Source organism: Homo sapiens, chromosome 12, assembly GCF_000001405.40.
Source record: "Homo sapiens chromosome 12, GRCh38.p14 Primary Assembly".
In the NCBI taxonomy this organism is placed as follows: Eukaryota; Metazoa; Chordata; class Mammalia; order Primates; family Hominidae; genus Homo; species Homo sapiens.
In genome coordinates, this window is record NC_000012.12 from 50419926 (window position 1) to 50440129 (window position 20204).

The 20204-nt window shown below is 40.5% G+C and overlaps 1 protein-coding gene across 62 annotated transcripts in view; it reads left to right on the forward strand.

The window, feature by feature from the left end:
• LARP4 (La ribonucleoprotein 4) overlaps positions 1–20204 on the forward strand; it is a 79120-nt gene that overhangs the window by 19041 nt on the left and 39875 nt on the right. For 35 of the 62 annotated variants that reach the window (NM_001352306.2, XM_047428212.1, NM_001352312.2 and 32 more), the window contains 5 exons: positions 7837–7984; positions 9010–9165; positions 10570–10645; positions 15563–15699; positions 17810–17913. In NM_001352306.2, coding sequence (NP_001339235.1) covers positions 7837–7984; positions 9010–9165; positions 10570–10645; positions 15563–15699; positions 17810–17913 — 621 coding nt within the window. Of the gene's footprint in view, positions 1–873; positions 963–7836; positions 7985–8991; positions 9166–10569; positions 10646–15562; positions 15700–17809; positions 17914–20204 lie in introns of those variants that run through there. The other 27 variants (XM_047428213.1, NM_001352309.2, NM_199188.3 and 24 more) reach the window with 5 other exon arrangements.

A 20204-nucleotide genomic window follows, 5' to 3' on the forward strand; every position in this document is an offset into this window, starting at 1 on the left:
AATCTTTAATAAAATTCTTACAAAGTTCTAAGAAAAATAGCCTTACAGTAGAAAATTATGAAGGATGTAAGTCATTAGGATCATGATTTAGCAGAAAAAACAAGTCACAAAATAAAGTCCTCAAAATTACAAATATTGGAATTATCATCAAGTGTAGACTATAAAATTAAAATGTTTGATATGCTTAAAAGAAGAAAAAAGATGATCCAGAAACAAAAAAGTTGATCAGATAGATTTGAGGAAAGAACTAAAAGAAACTTTAAGAAATGAAAAATATAAAAAGGGAGCTTAGAAACTTACTAGACAAGTTGAACAGCAAGTTAGAAACAGCTTGAGAAAAATCAGTGAACTGGAAGAACGATCGTAAGAAATTGTTCAGAATGCAACTAGAGAGACCAAAATGGAAAATAGGAAAACTTGATACATGGAACATATGATGACAAGGTAGCATATATTTTATTGGAGTTTCAGAAGAGAATAATAGAGCAGTTGTGGAGAGTGAATATTTTAAGAGAGAATGGCTGAGAATTTTACAGAATTGATGAACGATTTCAGGGAGTTCAGCAGATCCCAGTTATATCAGATAAAAAACAATTTCACACTTAGACTTTTAATGATCGTAAAACCTCATTAACAAATCAGAGAGTAAAGAGAGATTAAGAATGGCAGCTAACCTGATGGCTGATTGCTTGTTAGCCATAGTATAAACCAGAAAGTACAGGAATGTCTTTAAAGTGCCTGAAAGGGGTTATATGCCTATTGATAATTCTGTATATGGCAAGGATGGTTAAAAATGTATTTTCAGAGAAAGCACAACTTGAGAGAATTTACTAAGAAGTTCTGAATGATATCCTTTGGGTAGGCGGTAAATGATTCCGAAGAAAACTCCGAGATGCAAGAAAGAACGATGAACAAAGAAAATGGTCAACATTCATCATGTAAATTTAAGTAAATGTTGACAGGTATAAATCTAAAATAATACTATGTATTTAATATATTTGAAGGTACAGAATAACCTTTGCTTTTTTTTTTTTTTTTTGGAGAGATGAAGTCTCGCTGTGTCACCCAGGCTGGAGTGCAGTGGCGCTATCTCGGCTCACTGCAACCTCCACCTCCTGGGTTCAAGCGATTCTACTGCCTCAGCTTCCCAAGTAGCTGGGACTGCAGGTGCATGCCACCACGTCCAGCTAATTTTTGTATTTTTTAGTAGAGACGGTTTCGCTGTATGTTGGCTAGGCTGGTCTCGAACTCCTGACCTCATGATCTGCCCGCCTTGGCCTCTCAAAGTGCTTTGATTACAGGCGTGAGCCACCGTACCCAGCCGGCTTTTAACGTACTGTAATATGCTCTGGTTTGAAAAAATCAGTACTAGATGCAATAATCTTAAGTTTCATATTTTTTTATGACTCAAAGCAGCATTTTAATGGAATGCTTTAGGCTGGGTGCAGCGGCTCACACCTGTAATCCCAGCACTTTGGGAGGCCGAGGTGGGAGGATCAAGAGGTCAGGAGATCGAGACCAGCCTGGACAATATGGTGAAATCCCGTCTCTACTAAAAATACAAAAATTAGCCGGGCATGGTGGCACACGCCTGTAATCCCAGTTTCTCTTAAGGCTGAGGCAGGAGGAGAATCGCTTGAACCCTGGAGGCAGAGGTTGCAGTGAGCCAAGATCTTGCCACTGCAGCCCAGCCTGGGAGACAGCAAGACTTCATCACAAAATAAATAAATAAATAAATAAATAAATAAATAAATAAATAAATAATACTTTGTAAGTGGGGAGAACACCAATCTGGTCTGGTTACTATAGCAGGTCATGTTTCCTTCCCGCCTATAACCACATGCTTAGGTACTTCTTGCAATTGTAATAATCTGTGAGTTGTAATCATTGTGTGGTTAATCCTTTGTTTCTGGAGTCAGGCTGCCTTGGGTTTGAATCCTTCCTTCATATTTCATCTTTCTATGTCTTTAATTGGGTTTGTTATTACTCTGTACCTCTCATAATGGGATAATCTATAAAAGAGATATTAATACTTACATTGGTTGGATTTTTTTTTTTTTTTGAGATGGAGTCTTGCTTTGTCACCCAGGTTGGAGTGCAGTGGCGTGATCACTGCTTACTGCAACCTCTGCCTCCCAGGTTCAAGTGATTCTCCTGCCTCAGCCTCCTGAGTAGCTGGGACTATAGGCATCCACCCCCACGACTGGCTAATTTTTTTTAGTAGAGACAGGGTTTCACCATGTTAGCCAGGTTGGTCTCACACTCCTGACCTCAAGTGATCTGCCTGTCTTGGCCTCCCAAAGTGCTGGGATTACAGGCTTGAGCCACTGCCCCCGACCTACATTGTTCTAAAAAGTAGGGGAGATGATACATATAAAGCATTCTATACAGTGCCTAGCCCACAGAATTAGTTTAACACGTTTGCTTTTGTTATTATAGCAGTTACAGCTGTTTTTTCCACTCTATTATGTGAAAGCATTTTCCAGTTTTCATACATTTCCATATTTAATCAACCCTGAGATGCATATTTTTGCACATTTTAACTTTGAAAATTGGGGTAAATCTTAAAATATTTGATGTAGGATAGCTGAATAAACAGCAATTTTTTCTTTGTGATATTAGTATCCATCTGAGTTATAAGATGTGTTAATGTGATATCTTTATAATTTTGGATTGCTGTGTAATACTTTATTTAGTAAGTATATCATTTCCTGTATTCCTCATCTGTTTAAACAGGGTTATTTGCATTTCTTAGCATTCATAAATAATGCTAATATATGTAGAAATATGAGTTGAATCATTTTATATAGTCTCCATAAAAGGATTTTCGCCAACTCTATGCCAGTTGGGAAATTATATTATTATTATTATTATTATTATTATTATTATTATTATTATTATTATTATTTTTGAGACGAGTCCCCCTCTGTCGCCCTGGCTGGAGTGCCATGGGGCAGTGTTGGCTCACCGCAACCTCTGACTCCTGGGTTCAAGCGATTCTCTTGTCTTAGCCTCCCAAGGAGCTGGGATTACAGATGCCTGCCACCATGCTTGGCTAATTTTTTTGTATGTTTAGTAGCGACGGGGTTTCGTCATGTTGGCCAGGCTGGTCTTGAACTCCTGACCTCAGGTGATCCACCCGCCTCAGCCTCCCACAGTGTTGGGATTACAGGCGTGAGCCACCGCGCCTGGCTGGAAAATTATTCTTAAGGGCTTTGCCAAACTAGTAAATATAAATAGTACTTTATTTTCCTATTTACATCCATGCATTTTTCCTTTAAAAAATTTTTATTTTCTTAGTCTTTTTAGGTTTTTTAGGTTTCAGTTTTATAGCATTCTATAGTCATCTTTTGTAATTTTATGTTTCTTCAAAGCTAATTTTCTATGACATAATAGTTTACATTTAACTTCACTTACACAGTTATTTTGATAGAATGCGTCGGTGTTTGTGTAGTATACTTTTGAGGGTGAGACAGCAGAATTGCCTTCCATTCAAAACTGACATGCTTTATAAAAAAATCTATGCAGTGTTTTCTTTTTTGAGACGGAGTCTTGCTCTGTTGCCCAGGCTGGAGTGCAGTGGCGTAATCTCGGCTCACCACAACCTCCACCTTCAGGGTTCCAGCGATTCTCCTGCCTCAGCCTCCAGAGTAGCTGAGATTACAGGTGCAGGCCACCACGCCCGGCTAATGTTTGTATTTTTAGTAGAGATTGGGTTTTACCATATTGGCCAGGCTGATCTTGAACTCCTGACCTCATGATCTGCCTGCCTTGGCCTCCCAAAGTGCTGGGGTTACAGGCGTGAGCCATCGTCCCCGGCCTGTAATTTTTTTTTTTTTTTTTTAGACGGAGTCTTGTTCTTGTCACCCAGGCTGGGGTGCAATGATGCAATTTCGGCTCACTGCAATCTCCACCTCCTGGGTTCAAGCGATTCTCCTGCCTCAGCCTCCCGAGTAGTAGCTGGGATTACAGGCGCCCGCCACCACACCCAGCTAATTTTTGTATTGTTTAGTAGAGACAGGGTTTCACCATGTTGGCCAGGCTCATCTTGAACTCCTGACCTCAGGTCATCCACCCAAGGCCTTGGCCTCCCAAAGTTCTGGAATTACGGGCATGAGCCACTGCACCCGGCCATGTAATTTTTAAAATAAGGACTTCTTGGCCCAGTGCAGTGGCTCATGCCTGTAATCCTAGTGATTTGGGAGGCTGAGGTTGAGAGGATCTGTTGAGGCCAGGAGTTTGAGACTAGCCTGGGCAACATAATGAAAACCCAACTCTGCCAAATTTTTTTTTAATTAGTGGAGCATGGTGTTCCAGGCCTGTAGTCCTAGCTACTCAGGAGATTGAGGCAAGAGCATCATTTGAACCCCGGAGTTTGAGGCTACAGTGAGCTATGGGCACGCCACTGCACTCCAGCCTGGACAACTGGCTGTCCTTTTTTTTTTTTTTTGAGACAGAGTTTCGCTCTTGTCGCCCAGGCTGGAGTACAGTGGCCCGATCTCGGCTCACCGCAACCACTGTCTATGGGGTTCAAGCGATTCTCTTGCCTCAGCCTCCCCAGTAGCTGGGATTACAGGCATGTACCACCACGCCCAGCTGATTTTGTATTTTAAGTAGAGACAGGGTTTCTCCATGTTGGTCAGGCTGGTCTCGAACTCCCGACCTCAGGTGATCCACCCACCTCGGCCTTCCAAAGTGCTGGGATTACAGGCGTGAGCCACCATGCCCAGCCAACCCTGTCTTTAAAAATAATAAAAATAAAAATAAGAATGTTTTACCCCAATTTACAGTTAACAAAATTGAGGCTCAGAAGAGTTAAGAAATTTTGCCAAGATCACACAATAATAAAAAGTTCATATTAGAGCTGTTTTTGGATTCAGGAGTGACTCCAGCATCTCAATCATTGTGTGTTTAGATAATGATTATTAAACTACCTTGAGGCCAGGTGCAGTGGCTCACTCCTGTAATCCCAGCACTTTGGGAGGCCGAGGTGGGTGGATCACCTGAGGTCAGGGGTTTGAGGCCAACCTGACCAACATGGTGAAACCCTGTCTCTACTAAAAACACAAAAATTTGCCCAACGTGGTGCCGGGCACCTGTAATCCCAGCTATTCAGGAGGCTGAGGCAGGAGAATAGCTTGAACCCAGGATGAGGAGGTTGCAGTGAGCCAAGATTGCACCACTGCACTCCAGCCTGGGCAACAGAGCGAGACTCCGTCTCAAAAAGGAAGAAAAAAAAAACTACCTTGAAATGATGTTTTTGCTTTACTAAAGCCACATAACTACTATGCATAGCAACTCTATGAGTAAGGGGTATTTCTAATAGGTGTATGGCCCTTTCACTGTATCTTTTTCATGTATAGATCTTATTTACCAGATCAATATTGTACTCTTTGTATTTATTCGGATTTAATGTTTGATCTCTGTTTCTGAGAGCTGTACCTTTACCATTTGCCATCTTCTTGGGTAGGCACCTATCTGGTATTCTCAGAATGGAGGAAAGAGAGGGAGAGAATAAGTATGTAAATACATGCATTTTCTCCTATTGAAAAATGCTTAATGTCAAATACTGTTGACATGGCAGGAGAGCTTGGCTATCACAAGCTACTCAGAGTTCTGTTCTGCTATCAGTCAAAAATTATGCTGTACCCAAAGAGCTTGAGTTTATCACCCTTAGGGGTGGTCTTCAGCATCTTCATCATCTCTTATTGTCACCTACGGCATCCGTGCCAAAGCTCTCTAGGAGCCAGGAGCTGGGTCTTAGTGAGGTGGACCCCAGCTTTGCCTGCCAGCTCTGCAATTCACTTCCTAGATCATTTGTTCCCCTGGGACACAAACTACTAGTTTGTCACTGGAACTTCTCTGGGCCTGTCTCAGAATGGGATTAACATAAAGGAGTGGAACTGTTCAGCAGAGGCAGGGAGAAATAAGTAAGTTCCCTCCTCCTCAGCTTCTCTTTCCAACCTCCCCTTGCCCATTTCCTCCTTCTTCCCCTGCCGGATTCCAGGGTTACAAATAGAGGCTTCTTTCTTCCGTTTAATTCCATAGTTACCCACCCTAGTTTGCCCTTCTCTAGAATCTCTCTACTCTCATATTGCATCCGGTTCTGTACCTCCTCCCCGCCTCCACCCACTGTACCCAATTGTCTTCCTGACCAAGGAGGAGGACAGGAAGTGTTGAATGTCAGGATCAAATGTCAGGATCCCCCTTCCCTGAGGGAAGAGGATAGGGAGATCTCTGGGCTGAGGCTGCTGTCTCCTTCCCACTGTCCTTTCTGCAGGTCCTCAGATGGCACACTAGGGTGGGCTTGCTGGTGGGTAGGCATCCCACCTCCAGTCCAGTGGAATGCTTAGTTGTACGTCTTATTATGCTGTAATGTTTATTTTTTAGGGCGTACATATGAATAGCAAGTTTTGTTGAAATAGATTATCCCCCTCCCCAACACACAAATAAATTATGTGATACCTAAATTCCCACATCACATTCATCAATCAATTCAGCTTCAAATCAGTGGCTACCAAAGGCAGAGTGGTGGGAGAGTACTGCTCTCCTGTGGGTACAAAACAGGTGTATTTTCTGTAGAGAATTTTGAAACAATAATAAAGATGACTGAAAGGTATACGCTTGTTATCCTACACTTAGAAATTCTAAAGCGTGTAAGTGATAAAATACTCCTCACTACTTCCACCATTTCAAGGCTCAGCCCCTGCTCTCAAGATATGAATGAACCTAGGCATGGAACAGGGCATTATGTTTGGGGTGTGTGTGTGTGTGTGTGTGTGTGTGTGTGTGTGTGTGTGTGTGTGGTTTTTTTTTTTTTTTTTTTCTTTTTTGAGACCGAGTCTCACTGTCTCCCAGGCTGGAGTGCAGTGGTGCAAACTCAGCTCACTGCAACCTCTGTCTCCCAGGCTCAAGCCATTCTTCAACCTCAGCATCTGAAGTAGCCGGGACTACAGGCGCCCACCAACACGCCTGGCTAATTTTGTATGTTTTGTAGAGACAGCGTTTCTCTGTGTTGCCCAGGCTGGTCTCGAACTCATGAGCTCAAGTGATCCGCCCGCCTTGGCCTCCCAAAGTATTGGGATTATAGGAATGAACCATCGTGCCCTGCCTCAAGAGATTACCTTAAATGGCACTATTTAAAGTAGTTATGCTGTGGACTTTAAGAACATACACTTGCAGGACAGATGGAAAAAAATTTACAATATAAAGCACATCACTGCTTTTATCTTGTGATAAAATTTCTAGTTATAGAATTGTTCAGACTCTAAAGTATCACAGCTTAGATGGCAATAAAATTTTATAATATTCTGGAAAATTACTGTAGATAACTAAAAAATTTGCTGTAGATGAAAAAATACACAAGTGTCTCAAAAGTTATGTAAATAGTTTAAATTTTGTGACATTTGCAGGTAGGTTGGGGTAAAGCAGCATTTCTATTTTATTTATTTTTCTGAGACAGGGTCTCCTCTGTCATGTAGGCTGGAGTGATGGTGTGTTTATAGCTCACTGTAGCCTCGAACTTCCTGGGCTTATGTGATCCTCCTGCCTCAGCCTCCCAAAGTGCTGGAATTACAGGCGTGAGCCATTGCACCTAGGCAGTATTTCTGTTTTAATATTTAGAGATACCTATTTTTTATTATATAGGAAGCTAAATTTTATATAGATGTCTCACATTTTCAAGTTGATCAAAACTTTAATATTATTTATTATTTGTTAAATATAATTATTGGGTTTCTCCCCCACTTTTAAGTAATGGAAAAGTGATTTTATCTGAATCTGTAATTTTCATGCTCTGATTTTAAAAATTTACAAATAGATCCTTCGATTATTTAGCAGGTAGCATCTAAAGGAACTGGTTTAAATCCTAATGCCAAAGTATGGCAAGAAATTGCTCCTGGAAATACTGATGCCACCCCAGTAACTCATGGAACTGAAAGCTCTTGGCATGAAATAGCAGCTACATCAGGTGCTCATCCTGAGGGTAAGTCTTAAATATTTGGTCATAAAAATCACAGTTTGGTTAAATGTATGGCCAAGCAAGTTTACTGAACTTGAGACACATCTCTTTTTTTTTTTTTTTTTTTTGAGACAGAGTCTTCCTCTGTCACCCAGGCTGGAGTACAGTGGCGCAGTCTTCACTCACTGCAACCTCCACCTCCCGGGTCCAAGCAGTTCTCCTGCCTCAGCCTCCCGGGTGGCTGGGATTACAGGCGCCTGGCTTTATCTCATGCCTGTAATCCCACACCCGGTTACCACACCCGGCTAATTTTTGTATTTTTAGTAGAGATGGGGTTTCACCATATTGGCCAGGCTGGTCTCGAACTCCTGACCTCAAGTGATCCACCAGCCTCGGCCTCCCAAAGTGCTGGGATTACAGGTGTGAACCACCATGCCTGGCCAGGATATATCCTTTGATTATTTGATTAAGTATATTTATCAATTTTTCTTCCTTTAAACATACTGCATCCAGCATTTATAAATGTTTAACATGTAGTTTGTATATAATTCTCATTTATATCTAACATGAATAGATTGCCACTAATTTCAAGTAGTAGCCGTGTTTTTGGGTCCAGCATGCAACCCATCTATAATAATTATATTTATAAATTAGTTTTTATCTACCATCATTGACTCTGCTATTTACTCACTGTTCGACCTTGGGCAAATAACTTAATTTCTCTATGCTTTTTTCCCTCCATCTGTAAAACAGAAGCAATCTTAATTACAGCACAGGATTTTCTGATAATTAAATGAATAAAGTGCATGGAGTAGTCTGATACATGGATAATGCTATATACGTTTTAGCAATTGTTGATCATTTTAGTTTATCTGTAATTGTCAAAACTTATCTCCCTCGGAATGATAACTCTTGCTTAAAACCATGCGGACATATTTCAAACTGGTAGAAATCCTTAAAATCTTTTTATAGGTGACATACTGCCCAGAGTTCCTGAGAATAGAATTTAAATAATTCCCATTTACTTTCAGTGTCTGTCTTTAATACAGGTAATGCAGAGCTCTCAGAAGATATATGTAAAGAATATGAAGTAATGTATTCTTCATCTTGTGAAACCACAAGAAATACTACAGGCATTGAAGAATCAACTGATGGGATGATTTTAGGACCAGAAGATCTGAGTTACCAAATATATGATGTTTCCGGTAAACTTTATGGTTTTATTGTTAAAATGAGAATTCAGTACAGGACACCCCCCACCCATGGTCTCTTTATACTTGTTCTGATAAACCTATGGCATTATTTTCTTATTTGAAAAGAAGGTTACGTTAATGAAATGTTAGTTGATTGTTACATTGTTTTCAGATAACATGACTTTTGTAATGTTAAGATTGTTTATGAGGGTTCTATTAAAGGAAAGCGTGAAATTAAAGATAACAGAAAAAAAGGCGGGGTGGCTCATGCCTGTAATCCCAGCGCTTTAGGAGGCCCAGGCGGGCAGATCACTTGAGGTCAGGAGTTTGAGACTAGCCTGGCCAACATGGTGAAACACTGTCCTATACTGAAAAAAAAAAATTAGCTGGGCATGGTGGCATGCACCTATAATCCCAAGATCATGCCACTGCACTCCAACCTGGGTGACAGAGTGAAACTGTGTCTGAAAAAAAAATTTTGTGTGTCTATATATAAACAACTGCCTACTTTGAACATAGAGTTGAAGTGATATGGTAAGCAATTGGTGTTTTTTTGTTGTTGTTTTTTTGTTGTTGTTGAGAGGGAGTCTCGCTCTGTTGCCCAGGCCGGAGTGCAGTGGCGTGATCTTGGCTCACTGCAATCTCTGCCTCCTGGGTTCAAGTGATACTCCTGTCTCAGCCTCCCGAGTAGCTGGGATTACAGGCACGCGCCACCACACCTGGCTAATTTTTGTATTTTTAGTAAAGATGGTGTTTCACCATGTTGGCCAGGCTGGTCTCAAACTCCTGACCTCAAGTAATCCACCTGCCTTTGGCCTCCCAAAGTGCTGGGATTACAGGCGTGAGCCACCATGCCCGGCCTTTAAGTGCTTTTAGTATTGTGCATTGTTAATTTTTTGATAAAGATAACCTTAAACTAATATGAAATGTATCTGATGAAAGAATATCTAGATTGACAGAAATTAGTTAGACTTTGAACTGTCCAAATTATAAAAATAATAAAAAATACAGTTTGGGCCAGGCACAGTGGCTTATGCCTGTGGCCAAGGTAGGAGGATTGCTTGAGCCCAGGAGTTTGAGAACAGTCTGGGCAACATAATGAGAGCCTGTCTCTACAAAAAAATAAAAATAAAAAGTTAGCTGGGTATCATGGCACAAGTTTGTGGTCCTAGCTACTCAAGAAGCTGTGGTGGGAGGATCATTTGAGCCCAGGAGGTTGAGGCTATACTGAGCTGTGATCACACCACTGTACTCTAGCCTGGGCAACAAAGGGAGACCCTGTTTCTCTGAAACAATAGCTTTGTGGTGAATTTTGATTGTAGATACTTTGTGGCTTCTGAGTACAACAGTATGTCAGATTTATCACCTCTACTAACATGCTATTAACTTTTTTTCCCTCTTCTTTTCTACCATCAGGAGAAAGCAATTCAGCAGTTTCTACAGAAGACCTAAAAGAATGTCTGAAGAAACAATTAGAATTCTGTTTTTCACGGTATTGCTGTTTCCCCTTTATTGAATTTTATTAGTAGATGTAAAATACGTGTGAAATAGAGCGCAAGGATGGTGATTATTATTTAACTAATTTTTTTTTTTATTTTCTTGAGACAGAGTCTCATGTTGTCGCTGGGCTGGAGTGCAGTGGTGTGATCTCGGCTCACAGCAGCCTCCGCCTCCAGGGTTCAAGAGATTCTTGTGCCTCAGCCTCCAGAGTAGCTGGGATTACAGGCGTGCAGCCACCATGCCCAGCTAATATTTGTATTTTTAGTAGAGACAGGGTTTCACCATGTTGGCCAGGCCAGTCTCAAACATGCAACCTCATGTGACCTGCCCTCCTCTGCCTTGCAAAGTGTCGGGATTACAGGCGTATGGCACCACACTCGGCCCCTTGTCTAGATTTAAAAGTGTAGGGTCGGGCGCTGTGGCTCATGCCTGTAATCCCAGCACTTTGGGAGGCTTCGGTGGCTGGATCACCTGAAGCTGGGAGTTCGAGACCTGCCTGACCAACATGGAGAAACCCCGTCTCTACTAAAAATACAAAAATTAGCGGGGCATGGTGGTGCGTGCCTGTAATCCCAGCTACTTGGGAGGCTGAGGCAGGAGAATCACTTGAACCCCGGAGGCGAAGGTTGTGGTGAGCTGAGATCGCACCATTGCGCTCCAGCCTGGGCAACAAGAGCGAAACTCCATCTCAAAAAAGAAAAAGTGTAGTCTCCAGTCTGATATGCAGAGGATCTATTCTTAATATAAAGATAATGAAGTTTGCATTGGATGTTTTTTCTATGAACATACTCAATTTTGGAATTGACAAAAAGTTATTTCTTAATGCATGTTTTAATAGTTGATTCTTGTAATGTTAATCATAGAGTCATTTTTGGCAAAATAGTAAGGAGTTGGACAGATAATTTATATTGCCAATGTCTTCTCTTAAATAAGGAATCCTTTCAGGCAAACATTTGGAGAAGTCTTATTTACAGATAAGAATAATGGGCCAGGCGCAGTGGCTCATGCCTGTAATCCTAGCACTTTGGGAGGGCAAGGTGGGCAGATCATGAGGTCAGGGGTTCAAGAACAGGCTTGCCAACATGGTGAAACCTTGTCTCTAATAAAAAATACAAAAATTAGCCAGGTGTGGTGGTGGGCGCCTGTAATCCCAGCTACTCGGGAGGTGGCAGCAGGAGAATCACTTGAACCGGGGAGGTAGAGATTGCAGTGAGCTGAGGTTATTCCTGGGCTCCAGCCTGGGCGGCAAGAGCGAAATTCCACCTCAAAAACAAGGAAACAAAAACATTCATGTAATATTTACTTTAGCCTGTACTTTGGGAGGCCAAAGTAGGTGGATCACCTGAGGTCAGGAGTTCAAGACCAGCCTGGCCAATATGGCAAAATCCCATCTCTACGAAAATACAAAAATTAGCGGGGTGTGGTAGCGTGGCCCTGTAGTTCCAGCTACTGGAGGCTGAGGCAGGAGAATTGCTTGAACCCAGGATGTGGAGTATGCAGTAAGCCGAGGTTGCAGCACTGCACTCCAGCCTGGGTGAATTTTACCTACTAACTAGATCATTTATGGGTCTGCTTCTATTGTCTGGGTTTCTTCTCTTGAATTATCTGTAATAATTTACTGCCTTTTTGTATGTCTTGTAAATTTTGATTTTATGCTGTACATTACATACAACAGAACCATAGAAGATGTAGGTGATATAACTCTAGACAGAGTTTGAGCTTTTTTTCTGTTAGGCAGAGAGTGATATGTTGATTGCTTCAATCCAATCAGGAACTGAGCTAGGTCAGGGCTGAGCAACAATTTTAAATGGACTCAGTTCACCTTTGATTTAGCTCTATTCCTTCTACATGGCCCTTTCAGGCTTTTGATTTAGAGCTTGGCAGTTTTGTGTCACCCTAATCTTACAAAACCAAGGAGATTTAGATCTCTAATACAGAGGTTTGAGATTTAGCTCTTTAACTTCCTACCCCATACTGCTTGAAAATCTGGCAGTGTCTTGGCCTGGCGCAGTGGCTCACACCTGTAATCCCAGCACTTTGGGAGGCCAAGGCAGGCGGATCACCTGAGGTGAGGAGTTCAGTATTAGCCTGACCAACATGGTGAAACCCCATCTCTACTTAAATACAAAAAATTAGCTGGGCATGGTGGTATGCACTACTAATCCCAGTTACTCGAGAGGCTGAGGCAGGAGAATCGCTTGAACCCAGGAGGTGGAGGTTGCAGTGAGCCGAGATCGCACCATTGCACTCCAGACTGGGGAATAAGAGCGAGACTTCGTTTCAAAAAAAAAAAAAAAAAGAAAAGCTGGCAGTGTCTTATCGGGGAGACTTGCGTTTGCCGCATTTTTGCTTGCACTGGGACTTAATCACGAGACCACATAGATTTTACTGTCTTTTCAGCCTGACTCTCAATCTCCCATCTTCCTCCTTAAAACTCAGGAAACATCTTATGGGGAAAATCAGCTGTATTGGTGGCTCCCATAATTTCCATTCATAATTCTAGTTCTTTGCCCATTACACTTACCACATACTTATACACAACTGCCTGGAGATCTGCTGGTTTCTCTATTGTCCAGGAGAGTCTGAGTCAAGATCTGCAAATGCTCTCAGGAAGGAAAGATCTTCTTTGGGGCATTTTAGTCATTTTGTGCTTGAAGCTTCCACAGCTTTCCCAGATCTCCAAAAACGTGATTTTTTTTTTTTTTTTTTTTGTAGTTTATCCCAGCTTTTTTAGTTGTTGCAGTGGAAGCTCCTACTTGTCATGATCCATCACATCCTACTCAGGACTGTGATATAGTTCGAACCAGCTGGGTAATTGACATTTGTAGCTCAGCAAAATTGCCATTAATACATATCAGGTATTACTCATGAATAATCAAATCTTAGATGTTATATCCATTAATTTGATTTACTTCTGACAAGGTACAGTTTCTTTAGCTAAGAGTTGAATCACTGTTTAAGAATAGACCTGCTAAATTTCAGAGTTCATTTAGGCTACAGCTTTTTAGTTTTGCAAAAATTATGTTTATAGTTGTCTTATTTTCAGATTCTTAAGGAATATCTTTTTTTTTTTTTTTTGAGATGGAGTTCTCACTCTATTGCGTAGGCTGGAGTGCAGTGGCACGATCTCGGCTCACTGCAACCTCTACCTCCCGGGTTCAAGCGATTCTTCTGATTCAGCCTCCCAAGTAGCTGGGAGTACGGGCACGCACAACCGTGCCTGGCTAAGTTTTGTGTTTTTAGTAGAGACGAGGTTTTATCATGTTGGCTAGGCTAATCTCAAACTCCTGATATCAGGTGATCCACCCACCTTTGCCTCCCAAAGTGCTGGGTTTACAGGTGTGAGCCACCATGCCTGGCCTCTATTTTAATAGAATGTAAAAGTAAGGGCCTTTGAGCCTGCTCCTTGCCAGGCACTAGGCAGTTGAAATACATTATTGATTGAACAGCAGCGATCCTTCATGGAACCTATATTCTGACTGTGAGAACACAAAACAAACATAATAAATAAGGAGTATGTTAGGAGATAAGTGCTATGGGAAAAAAATTAAATGCAAGGACAGGAATCAGGAATGCTGGGGTGGTTGCAGTTTTAAATAGGGTGATCAGAACAGTACTCTTTGAGAAGGGGCCTTATAAGCAAAAACTTCCAGCTATTTATAGCCAGACTGCTTCAAAGAATATTTGATGTGAATAGCAAGGTGTGAATTTGATTTTACCTAAGTTTATTAAACAAGATTTTATGTGTAAGATGCAAGTGTTTGCATCTTCTTTTTTTAATGTACCTTAAAGAATCTTTTGTGTTAATATTAAATATATATTTTTTATTTTTCTTTTTTTTTTTTTGTTTATGTTTTGAGATGGAGTTTCGCCCTTGTTGCCCCAACTGGAGTGCAGTGGCGTGATCTCGGCTCATTGCAATCTCCGCCTCCCAGGTTCAAGCGATTCTCTTGCCTCAGCACCCCGAGTAGCACCCACCACCAAGCCTGGCTAATTTTTTGTATTTTTAGTAGAGACGGGGTTTCACCATGTTGGCCAGGTTGGTCTTGAGCTCTTGACCTCTAATGATCCACCCGCCTCGGCGTCCCAAAGTGCTAGGATTACAGGCATGAGCCACCGCACCCAGCCAATGTGTGTATTTATATAAGCATGTTTGACTTAAATAATTTAAAACACGTATTTTGGACAGGGTGCGCTGGCTCACGCCTGTAATCCCAGCACTTTGGGAGGCTGAGGCGGATGGATCACGAGGTCAGGAGATCGAGACCATCCTGGCTAACACGGTGAAACCCCGTCTGTACTAAAAAATACAAAAAAAAATTAGCCGAGCGTGATGGCGGGCGCCTGTAGTCCCAGCTACTCGGGAGGCTGAGGCAGGAGAATTACTTGAACCCGGAAGGCAGAGCTTGCAGTGAGTCGAGTTTGCGCCACTGCGCTCCAGACTGGGCAACAGAGCAAGACTCTGTCTCAGGAAAAAAAGAAACAGAAATGGAAAATCCTTCTTGAGTCAGTTCACAGTTCAGCTACAGTTTTTATCATGCATATTCTAATATCACTGATGAAGTATTTATAAGATGGAACTCTGCTATATGTAATGTTTTGTTAAAGTGCTACTTGTAATATTAAACCTCTTTATGTATCAGTATAATTGTCCAATGTTGTGCTAGATGTGTTTGGGAATTGAGATACTGTAAAAGTTATATTAACTAATGTTTATGTATATATTACATTAGTATCTTTTGAATTGAACTTTTAACAACTTTTTAGAGTTCACTGAAAAGTTTAATGTTATTTCTGATAGAATAATCTTATTTCCATGCATTTAAAAAGTAGGAAAAGTGAGTAAGATACCTCTTGTTAGATGCTTTTTAATAATTGCTTGTTTTATAGGACTATTTTGTTTTTTCAGAGAAAATTTGTCAAAGGATCTTTACTTGATATCTCAAATGGATAGTGATCAGTTCATCCCAATTTGGACAGTTGCCAACATGGAAGAAATAAAAAAGTTGACTACAGACCCTGATCTAATTCTTGAAGTGTTAAGATGTATGTAAAAATACCTTTTAGCTTTTTTTTTAATTTTTAAACGTAAAATGTTATTTCGACTTCTGATCATATAGGGAATTATTTTTACTGCCCCCTCCCCACACCCTTATTTTGTTGTTTTGTTCCGAATTCTCTCTCTTTGTTTTTTTTTTTCGGGGGTTGTGGTGAAAGACAGGGTCTCACTCTGTCACTCAAGCGGGAGTGTGATGGTGCAAATCACAGCTCACTGCAGCCCCAAACTCCTGGGCTCAAGCCATCCTTCTACCTCGTAGCCTCCCAAGTTACTGGGACCCCAGGCGCACACCACCACATCTGGCTAATCTTTAAATTTTTGTATAGAGGTGGGGTCTTGGTATGTTCCCCAGGCTGGTCTTTGTTCTTTGGCTGAGTCAGTCCTCCCACCTTGGCTTCCCATTTTTACTGACTCTGTGTGTGTGTGTGTGTGTGTGTGTGTGTGTGTGTGTGTGTATCCCGCTGGTGTGTGTGTGTGTGTGTGATATGTGTGTGTGTGTGTGTATATATCCCGCTGGGGTGTGTGTGTGTGTGTATGTATATATATATATATATATATCCCGCTACTGACTGGTGTGTGGGGGTGTGTGTGTGTGTATATGTGTGTATGTATATATATATATATCCTGCTCAGCCTCCCAAAATGTTGGAATTACAGGCGTGAGCCACCACCCCCGGCCTATATACAGCTTCTGTAATAATTCTGCACCTTGGTTGTTTATCATCATGCCCACTTAAGAAGTATAAGCAATTAAGTCTCATTTTTCTGGAGTGTTAGATATGTATCGTTATCACACAACCTTTAAGACAATCTCTTTCAAGTTTTTAAACCCAAATAAGAAGTACATTTTTCGTGACAGTTCAATATACACCATATACCTACACCTGACCGAAATATTTGTAACAAACTTGTTTCTAATTTTACAACCTACTAATGAGTTGCTGTGGGCAGTTTGACAAATACTGCTCTGAAGTTTGGTAATGAATTTTTATTTCTTGATTGAAGCTTTAAGAATTTTTGCTGGATTTTGTGTCTTGTATCAGTATTTCTTGGTAACCTCTTAAGAGTGGGTTTTGTTAACTATTTGACTGAATAAGGCAGATCTTCACTTTTATATGAGATGTGTTGAACATGTTTAAAAGTTAAATATAGCAAGTCTGATAATAGACTTACAGTGGAATAGATTTCCATTTCCAGAGGATTACAAACATTTATGGAACATTACAGAGGATTACAAACATTAATGGAACATTACAGAGGATTACAAACATTTATGGAACATTACAGAGGATTACAAACATTTATGGAATCTCTCATTGGTTTGTAGAGACATCATTTCTTAAAATGACCCAATCTTGTCTGCATTAAAAGTTGGCAAAGAGAGGCAGAATCTCCCACCTGTTTAGGCTGGAACTTGGCACTTATTATACCTATGCCATCACACTTAACTGCTTATTTTATTCTACTTACCTGTTCATGGAGATCTGGTATATTAACTCCATGAAGGGACTATTTGCTACTATATTTAGTATAATATTTCCTCATAATCAGCATTTAAAAGATGGCTTTTGGGTCTCTGTAGTAGTATGCAAGATTAAGTAAGTTGAAATCCTGGATAGCTTATAATTTGCATATAGTTCTTAGTTTAAGGGCTTCTTGAACTTTAATCTTAGGAAGAATTTCTTCATATATCAGATTTCATTATACTCCTCAACATAGTGTTTGGCCAATGAAAGTACACTAATTTCTGTTAACATCCATTTGTTATCTCCTCAATGAAGAATTTGGTTATTATATACAAGAAATTTGCCTTATTAGATATATGTTGTATGCTCCCTGAAGGCAGTGCCAAACTTACTCTGTTAAGTACTCTGAATGTTTTTTCAATGAATAACATTTGACAGTGTTCTTTACATACAAATCTCCAAAAAATTGTCATACCTATAATCTTTGATTCTACAACTTAGTTTCTTTAGGATATTAACCCAGCCTCTGCAAATTTACTCAGTTGGAAATTAAAATGAATAGTTTCTTTAATGGCATTAATAATATCACTACTTGTCACGTTTGAGTGATACCCTTTCTTTTAAATTTCAGCTTCTCCCATGGTACAAGTTGATGAGAAGGGTGAGAAAGTGAGACCAAGTCATAAGCGTTGTATTGTAATTCTTAGAGAGATTCCTGAAACAACACCAATAGAGGTAAATTATTAATAATTGTTAACACTAAATGTTCTCTGTTTAAATTAAAAGAGGTTTCTTCTGCCTTTCGTGGCAAAGAAGAAAAATTGGAAGAGGTACACAAGCAAAGCATAAGTCAGTGCCTTCATCAGTTACTGTGAAAAGGTTAAATACTAATTTGTTTCATTAATTCTGAAGTACTAGGATGGTATAGAGAAAGGAAAAGATATAGTTCTATTTTCTTAGAAGGGTAGACAAAGTATTGCAGTGAAACATTCTGAATTTACTAGATTGATTCAATGGCAACTAATATATAAATAGGCTATTTTGGGAACTTGAGAATTCATCTGTAAGAATGAATGAAAAACTAGATTTTGATTAAGGATTAAGGAGGCAGGGCTGGGCGCGGGGTGGCTCATGCCTGTAATCCCAGCACTTTGGGAGGCTGAGGCAGGCGGATCGTGAGGTCAGGAGATGGAGACCATCCTGGCTAATATGGTGAAACCCCATCTCTACTAAAAATCAAAAAATTAGCCAGGCATGGTGGTGGGCGCCTGTAATCCCAGCTACTTGAGAGGCTGAGGCTGGAGAATGGTGTGAACCTGGGAGCTTGCAGTGAGCTGAGATCAAGCCACTGCACTCTAGCCTGGGTTACAGAGTGAGACTCTTTGTCTCAAAAAAAAAAAAGGGATTAAGGAGGCAGGACTAACCCTATTGTTCAGCGAAATATTATATAAAGCAAAGTTGCAGTCATAAAGATGGTATGGTACACGTACCGGAATAAAATAATATTTGAATGATACATTATAATCAATTTGACAATTAGATTCTCCCAGTTATTACTTTGCAATTATTTAAAGCCAAAGGTTTTATTGCCTGTTTTACTGATGAAATAACTGACAGTTAGGATGGTTACGTAGCTTGCTCAAGGATACAAGGGCTCTTAAATGACAGGAGTTTGGGTTTGAACATGATCTCTCTGATTCTAAAGCCCATGTTTCATAATCACTGTGCCACAGAGCTTCATGTTAAGTTGCCATGATAAGGTGATATACATTAAAGAAGATGAGGATAATTAGTAACTGACATTGTAATTGATTAGCTATTTAGAACAGAGTGTTATTTTGTTTTATTTTTTGAGACAGGGTTTCAGTCTGTCACCCAGGGTGGAGTGCAGTGGCACAGTCATGGCTTACTGTAGCCTTGACCTCATGGGCTCAAGCGATCCTCCCATCTCAGCCTCCTGAGTAGTTGGGACTACTGGCACATGCCACCATGCCTGGCTAATTTTTGTACTTTTTTGTAGAGATGGGGTTTTGCCATGTTGCCTAGGCTGTTCTCAAGCCTCTGCGCTCAAGCAATCTGTGCACCTTGGCCTCCCAAAGTGCTGGGATTACAGGCGTGAGCCACTGTGCCCCATTTCATTATCATTTTTGCGGTTATTACAATTCATATTCTGAATACATAAAGAGTTCATACACATGAAAAACAGTAAATAAAACAAGGTACCAAATGTTTTGTTGGGTTTTTGAGGAGTTTTTTGTTTTTTGCTTTTAAAATTTTTTTTTCATGTTAAGAAATTTTTCCTCAATCAATGGTTTTCTGAGACAGGTCTTGCCGTGTCACTGAGGGTGTAGTACAGTGGTACGATCATAGTTCATTGCAGCCTCAAACTCCTTGGCTCAAGCAGTCCTCCTACCTCAGCCACCCAAGTAGCTGTGACTACGGGAGCCAGCCACCATGCCCAGCCAATTTTCACTTTTTTTTGGTAAAGATGGTGTCTAGCTATGCTGTACAGGCTCATCCTGAGCTCAAGCAATTCCCCTACTTCAATCTCCCAAAGTGCTGAGATTACAGAAGTGAGCCACTGAGCTCTCAGGCTGCATTTGACCTTTGCTATTTCAGTAGATATTTTCTTTCCTTCTGTTACTTCTTAAGGATACTTAATGTTCACTTAATTTTTTTTTTTAATAAGCTTCTTTCAATCCATTAACAGTTTTACCATTTTGAGTTTTGGTAGTCACCCTTTTTCTGAATCCATATAGCTGTTGGAGTTTCTGTTTACATTTATACTAATTACGGAAAAGAGAAGATATGTTTGCACATTAACTAATGTATGTGTTGTAAGCAAAGCAACTGGATTAAATGAGAATGCGTGAAAATTTGTATTGCCTAGAAAATGTTAATGAAAGATATCACTTGTCCTGTGGGAGGCCAGGCAGGAAAAGGACAGGGGAGATTTCACTAAGCATTTAGCTTGCCACTGGAAGTGAAATACTTACGCTTTGCTTATTGTAAAATAAATCATCCCA